The 7,877-nt window shown below is 42.4% G+C and overlaps 1 protein-coding gene across 3 annotated transcripts in view; it reads right to left on the bottom strand.

The window, feature by feature from the left end:
- TNRC6B (trinucleotide repeat containing adaptor 6B) overlaps nt 1–7,877 on the bottom strand; it is a 290,975-nt gene that overhangs the window by 76,804 nt on the left and 206,294 nt on the right. For all 3 annotated transcript variants that reach the window (NM_001024843.2, NM_001162501.2, NM_015088.3), the window contains one exon: nt 7,805–7,826. In NM_001024843.2, the coding sequence (NP_001020014.1) occupies nt 7,805–7,826 (22 nt within the window). The remainder of the gene's footprint in view (nt 1–7,804; nt 7,827–7,877) is intronic.

The raw sequence follows: 7,877 nt of genomic DNA, 5'->3' as shown, positions 1-7,877 counted from the left end.
TATGTTTCTGTAAGGCTGCCCTGCTATAAAGGTCAAGAATCTTCATTATAAGTTACCCAGGTCTACTACATACTTTTAACTCAATCCAGAAAAACAACAAGACATGACAGAGTGACCTGCAGGACTGAGGGCTGAACACCAGTTTGACTCACTTTAAAACATTCACAGCACTGTTTCAACTGAAGAAATTTGGTAGGTATCACGTATCATGTAAGATTCCTTGCAAAAGTTCCTCAGGGCACTTTCCCACCACATCAGAGACAGAATGGATTGTAAATGATAAAGTCATTATAAAATGGGAACACACCTCAACCACTTTCCTCCCAATACAGTGTGCTCTGGCCCAGGAGATTAGTCATTCAAACTCCAGGACATCATGTACAAATAGGTCAAAGTATAAAAAGAAAAAAACAAAACCTCCAGGAAACAGTCAGAAAACGCCCAAGACACCACCTTAGTCATAGCAAACTGTGTTTCAGCACCTGAATGAATTCTTACTCTATTTTTTAAATCACACCTTTCTGTGAATCCAAGAATGTTAAGCTTTTAAAGGCCAACCAGAATTGCCGGCACTAATTGGAGAGCAACACAGCTTTTCAGGCAGGATGTCTGATCCAAATTGACTCCCAAAGTCCAAACTTAAGACATCAGAATCAGTGTGCATCACCCATCATCATGGTCCAGAATGTTAGACGATAAAGGGCAAGAGAAGCTATCATTAAAAGTCTGAATATGTTACTTTTCAGGCTGTCTCTTTTCTGAATCTTAAGGATTTGTAAGTTGTGCAAGTTTTTCTAAAGATGAGCTGTTCAAAGTAAGTGCATAGTTTCTTATCTTCCAGAGGAAAGGTTTGTGGCTTAAACATGATCTCAGTACTATAGGGAAATAAAAACATTGTGGGGTAAAAAAAAAAAAAAAAAAAAAAAAAAAAAAGGCTGTGTATCCTATTTTCTGATTTCCATTCATTTACTTCTTTTTTTGTTTGTTTTTTGAGACTGAGTCTTGCTCTGTTGCCCAGGCTAGAGTGGAGTAGCAGGATCTCAGCTTCCTGCAACCTCCACCTTCCAGGTTCAAGTGATTCTCCTGCCTCAGCCTCCCGAGTAGCTGGCGTGCACCACCACGCCTCACTAATTTTTGTATGTTTAACAGAGACGGAGTTTCATCATCTTGGCCAGGCTAGTCTCGAACTCCTGACTTCAGGTGATCTGCCCGCCTCAGCCTCCCAAAGTGCTGGGATTATAGGCGTGAGCCACCGCACCTGGCCGTCCATTCATTTACTTTTTTTTTTGAGGCGGAGTTTCGCTCTTGTTGCCCAGGCTGGAGTACAGTGGCGTGATCTCGGCTCTCTGCAACCTCCGCCTCCCAGGATCAAGCGATTCTCCTGCCTCAGTCTCTCAAGTAGCTGGGATTACAGGTGTGCACCACCATACCCGGCTAATTTTGTATTTTTAGTAGAGACGGGGTTTCACCATGTTGGCCAGGCTGGCCTCGAACTACTGACCTCAGGTGATCCACCTGCCTCAGCCTCCCAAAGTGCTGGGATAAAAGGCATGAGCTACCGTGCCCGTCCTCCATTCATTTTCTTTTAAGAACCATTTACGTGCTCTAATAATTGAATCTCCTCCCCTTCCTCATCCCATTTTTCTTATTCCATTCTTGTATCTCACAGTTTAAACTTCCAATTGCCCCTATTTCTGAAAACTCCAATTAGATGCTACTTTTTCAGATAAAAGTGCTCTTTAAGAAACTTCCAAACCAGGCAGGGTTCTGAACACAGCAGCTGCACAGAACTAGTACAAACTATTATTTCCTTTAACTATCTCAATGGTATCAAACATAAAAAAGAATGACCTAGAAATGTTTTTAAAGTAGTAGTTAAAATACAAACAAGGCCTAGAAAAGATATTCTAGGCTGAACATTTTAAATCTGATGACATGCAGTGAGCGGTCAATGTGTACTGAACAATTTTCAGTAACCTCTCAGCACTGCCTCTATTTCTTTACCTTCCACTCCCTCCTCAACCCAACACACACTGGCTTTTGCCTTGAACATCTCCCTGGAAGTTTCTTTCCTCATAAGTCACTAGTGATCTTTGTTGCCAGTCTAACCAGCCCATCTTGGACCTTTCCTTCTTTGGTTTTTCTGCAGCTTCTGACACCACTCGTCATTCCCTCCCTCCCATTTCTGTGAGACGTGCTCCAGCTAGTGCTTCAGCTCTTCCTTTCCTCTTCCTGTGTGGGCTTCTCCTACTCTTGATCAGGGGGGATCAGCAAACTTTCTGTAAAGGGCCAGATAGTAAATATTTTAGGGTTTACTGGCCATATGGTCTTCATCACAACAACTCAACTCTGCACTTGTGGGGCCAAAGCACCATAGACAATGTGTAAACATATGAGTGTGGCTGTGCTCCCATAAAACTTTATTTACGGACAGTGAAATATGAATTTCCTGTCATTTTCACGTCTTGAAATATTGTCCCCATTTTTTCTCCAATAAATTAAAAAACGTAGAAAATATTCTTAGCTCATGGGCAGTACAAAAAAGTTGGCAGTGAGGCCAACTTTGTCCACGGCCATAATGGCAATCCTGGCTTTTGACTGGAGAATGGCAAATGAATTTGGCCATAAGTAGTGGCTTAAAAACAAAACAAAACAAAACAAAATCAATGTGACAATAGGGTCTGCACCCTTTCCACATTTCAGTTCCTTGAGTACAAACTCTTCCATGCTCTGGCTTTAACTACCACTTATCATCTTTCCCTTCCTCTCAAACTTGTTTCCTAGCCCCAATCTCATTTCTTCACCCTCAAAGAATGAACTTATCACCGAACCAGCTGCTCAAGTCAGAAACCTGCTTGGTATCTTAGACTTCTCAATGTTCCCCCACCCACATATCATTATCCAATCAATATTAAGTTAAACTAAAGCCTCTCTCAATTCCTGGCTAACACAGTGAAACCCCGTCTCTACTAAAAATACAAAAAATTAGCCAGGCGTGGTGGCATGTGCCTGTAGTCCCAACTACTCAGGAGGCTGAGGCAGGAGAATCGCTTGAACCTGGGAGGCGGAGGTTGCAGTGAGCCAAGATCATGCCATTGCACTCCAGCTGGGGCAACAGAGCAAGACTCTGTCTCAAAACAAACAAACAAACAAACAAACAAGCAAACAAACACCTGCATTAATAGACATACAGTATCCAGGAAGGGATTTACACTTCCTGCACCACACTGTGAAAAGGAACAGAGAGCAACCTCCATGGACCTTGTGTAGTTCGGGCCAGATTGGGCAAGGAATTTGTCAACTCAGGAAGGTTTAAACACCTGGCCTCCTAATCGGGTTCAAGTCCTCATTACCTCCTATTTGGACTATTTTCATGCCAATTTATTGGAGCCACATGTCTTGTAATACCTCACGTTCATTCACTCTCTTAGGGGCAGCCAGTTCCACCTCTGAACAAGTGGCTCCCCACCACTGTGTTAGAACACACAGTGTTTCTACAAGGTGTGAGGGGTGCTGTAAGTAGTTTATAAATTATTTAATGGAGGGGACCCCTCCAATATTAATAAATGAGAGTAGACTCAAGGTTACCCTGTACTCACTGTACTATGCCTTCTGAAATAGGCTCAAAACAAAGAGTGGTAGCCAACGTCCTGCGATGGCCCATAACCCCAGCTATGCTGATGGAGAAGGTGCTGCTCTCAGCTGTGTCCCAGTGGCAAAGGACAACACCTAAAAAATTTAACTTCTACTGAGCTAGAAGCTTTTCCCTGTTGGCTTTGACTCACCATTGGTGCTATCTGAAGAGTAAGTTTCACTGAACAAAATATCTGACAGATAATTACCAAGGAACTGTTAAGTGTCAGACACTAGAGCCCTTCAAATTTTTGAAGACAGTTACCTGAGGTTCCCCAAGCAGGAAGCCCTTCCCTGGGAGCTCAACGAACCCAGGTGTTTAAACCTTCCTGAGTTGACAAATTCCTTGCCCAATCTGGCCCGAACTCCACAAGGTCCATGGAGGTTGCTCTCTGTTCCTTTTCATAGTGTGGTGCAGGAAGTGTAAATCCCTTCCTGGATACTGTATGTCTATTAATGCAGGTTTGTTTGTTTTTGTTTTTTTTGAGACAGAGTCTCGCTCTGTTGTCCCAGCTGGAGTGCAATGGCATGATCTTGGCTCACTGCAACCTCTGCCTCCCAGGTTCAAGCGATTCTCCTGCCTCAGCCTCCTGAGTAGTTGGGACTACAGGCACATGCCACCACGCCTGGCTAATTTTTTGTATTTTTAGTAGAGACAGAGTTTCACTGTGTTAGCCAGGAAGGTCTCGATCTCCTGACCTTGTGATCTGCCCACCTCGGCCTCCCAAAGTGTTGGCATTACAGGCGTGAGCCACCGCGCTCGGCCTATTAATGCAGTTTAAGATCATCTTATGCTGATAAACTCTCATTAAAGCCAGCCATCACTCTAACATCTTTTTTTGTTTTGTTTTTGAGACAAGGTCTTGCTCCATTGCCCAGGCTGGAGTACAGTGGCATAATTATGGCTCACTGCAGCCTTGAACTCCTGGGCTCAAGCAACCCTCCTGTCTCAGCCTCCCAAGTAGCTGGGATTACACGCCTGTGCCACGGTGCCTGGCCCCTAACATCTTTTTAACAAGGCTCAATATCTATGTCCAACTTCCTCCATTACATAGTCTACGCAATTGGGCTTTTTAATCCTAAACTTAATCCTAAACTTCATCCCTGTTAAATCTGAACGATTACATCAATCCATCAAACTCTTTTAGTTCTACTCTAAAATCCAACGAAGGAGGATATTAGCTTCTACCTTAAGTGCTTTCTATTATTTGATACCTGGTAGCAAGCCAGCTCTAGCCTATGTCTTCACATAACCTCCACTTGAAATCTCTACCCTATTCCTCACAGAATTCTCACAGTTTTTTTTAATGGTGGAGAATACAGGAAGAATATATAATGAATACACTACTACTCTGAAATACAGAAAAATCTCACTTCAGTCCTCTACACAACCAGAGACTTGGCACCAACAGTCTTTTCTTTGTGCTTCTAGCAACTGTTGGGGAAAGATGGGTAGATTCAGAGTGAAGGGCAGATTGCCTGAGGAAGACACCATCTTTGGGGAAAGGAACACGTTCCCCAGACATGTCAGCTGAGGTAAGAGAAGAAGAAGGAGATTTACAGTACCAAGGTGGGCTTACTGGGAATAAAGATGAAGATGTGGCTGTAAACCTAGACCCAACAATAGAAAGGTCAGGCCCTCCCTCTGTTTACAGTCTTAACATACCCCAGGGACAACTGGTATTTTTACTTGCTGTCTAACAATTAAATCCCTTAGGAGACTGAAATGGCCTCTCACCTCCCTTTAGGATTATTTTATGTTATCTTTTGATTGGAGTGGTGGGAGGTAGGGAGAGTAGGGAGACTGTGAAACTGTATTTCATTATATAGTAGGTATGAGAAAGCCCCCAATTGGAAAAAAAAAAATTTGGTGGTGAGTAGAAAGGAAAGTTTGATTTTTAAGACTGGTAGAGGAAAGAAGAGTGTGTTTGAGAATAGGTCTGGTACCCCTCCCAAATTTTTTCTATAAGAAAAGATGCCTAGGCTGGGTGCAGCGGCTCACACCTGTAATCCCAGCACTTTGGGAGGCCGAGGCAGGCGGATCACGAGGTCAGGACACCAAGACCATCCTGGCTAACATGGTGAAACCCCGTCTCTACTAAAAATACAAAAAAAAAAAAAAATTAGCCGGGCATGGTGGCGGGTGCCTGTAGTCCCAGCTACTCAGGAGGCTGATGCAGGAGAATGGCGTGAACCCGGGAGGCGGAGCTTGCAGTGAGCCGAGATCGCCTGGGTGACAGAGCGAGACTCTGCCTCAAAAAAAAAAAAAGAAAAAAAGAAAAAAAAGAAAAGATGCCTAACAGATTTTCTGTTTCCCAACACCACTTACCATACAGAGGAGCTCAGTTCTACAGCACAACTAACACTTGGCTTTGCAAGCATCAGTCTTGTGGCCAGGCCTAGGAACCCAACCACCATGTTGCAGCAACCAGAGTCTAGACTATCCAGGAAAAAATGCCAGTTTTCTCATCTGCTGTCCCCATAAATCATCAAAAAGCCCTACAAATATAAATACTTAAGTGCCCAAATCCTTTTCTAGAAAGTATGTTGGTTTAGAAAGTATGGGCACTGTACCAGTATGCATAACACTATTTCTATGGTAAAGTATCATTTATATTTCAAGCAAGTAATTTACAAAGATCCTTCCAAAATAAAGCCTACTTCTGGGCTGAAACTGAGGAAATGTACAAGGGCAGATACTATTCTCTGTAACCAATTAATTATAACTAATAATTATGGTTTCTTTTACACATCACTACAAACTCCCGGACTACATTCTCCTTTGAAATGTCTTTTGGTTAGAAATTTATTATAGTAACGCCTAGTCATACGAGAATTTATTTTCCATAACTAAGTTTCCTAAGAAATTAGCACTGTCTTATTACTCTTTCATCATTGTGTGACAGGCTTTGGTCTGGTAGTCCAACAAAACAAAACAAAACAATGAAGAAACCAATCATTACAGGGCTTCCCATCAAGCCTTGACCTCCCTGTCACCCCTGTCCTCCTCCAAGTCATCACAGTCACATCTAATTCCCTTCATCTAAGGCAGTGATTCTCAACTAGGGACATGTACTGGGGTCACCTGCAGAGCTTTTCAAAATACATCTGCTAGGGCCATGGCCTGGGACTGCATATTTTGACGATTTTATGCAAATGATTCTTATGCATACCTAATTGAGAAACACATATTTAAGTGGGCAAGGAGAGGAGCTATCTCAAAGAATTAATTCTCTCATTCTGAAGGGGAAATGAACAAAAATGTGACAATCACCAGACAAAACTACATGATCAAAATTAACAGGCGAGCAAGAAGCCAAAACAACATGGACTATTAGATTGAGAATGACCCAAGGGGCACCTGCTTCTGTTTACAACATGTCACTATTTTTTAGCAGAGTTAAGCTACTCAAAATGTATTATCTTTTAAAAAAGCATATTCTAAGTTTTAGCTTAGAAGGCAGAGTAAACATCCTAGGTGCAATATTCCATTATCAGACTCAATGCATGCCATGGGTCAAGGTGGTGGACAAACTGCTGTAATTCCCATCTGTAAATTAAAAGCTGTTGTTTGTTTTTTGCTATTATTCTTTAAAAAAAGTTTTGAAAAGGTTCAGTTCACAATCATGACCCATATACTTTTTTTTTTTTTTGAGACGGAGTCTCACTTTGTTGCCCAGGCTGGAGTGTAGTGGCATGATCTCGGCTCACTGCAACCTCTGCCTCCCAGGTTCAAGCGATTCTCATGCCTCAGCCTCCCAAGGAGCTGGGATTACAGGCATGAGCCTCCATGTCTGGCTAATTTTTTATTTTTAGTAGAGATGGGGTCTCAGTCATATTGGCCAGGTTGGTCTCAAACTCCCGACCTCAGGTGATCCAGCCTCCCAAAGTGCTGGGATTACAGGCGTAAGCCACCGTGCCCAGCCATGACCCATATACTTTTTAAAACAAGGTATTTACTCTTTTGACTCCTAAAAAATTTAAGGCCAACTAGAAACACCAATACAAGTATTTTCAATTTGTCATTACTGCTCCTCAGTGACTGCAAACAACCCACCTTAATTACTCTACGCCCACTCTCTTTTCAGTGGATTGGAGGCTGAGTCAGCAACAGTGTAAAAGCTAAACACAAAAGGTTCTAAATAATTTAAAAAGAAAAAAAAGATCTTACCTTTGGTTTTTTGTTCCGTGACCTGCAAAATAAACAGATAAAAGTAAATGAGATTTGCTTTTTAATTCAGTAC

Source organism: Homo sapiens, chromosome 22 (genome assembly GCF_000001405.40).
Source record: "Homo sapiens chromosome 22, GRCh38.p14 Primary Assembly".
Taxonomy (NCBI): domain Eukaryota; kingdom Metazoa; phylum Chordata; class Mammalia; order Primates; family Hominidae; genus Homo; species Homo sapiens.
Note: the sequence above shows the minus strand (reverse complement) of the source record. Positions and strands in the feature narration are given on the sequence as shown.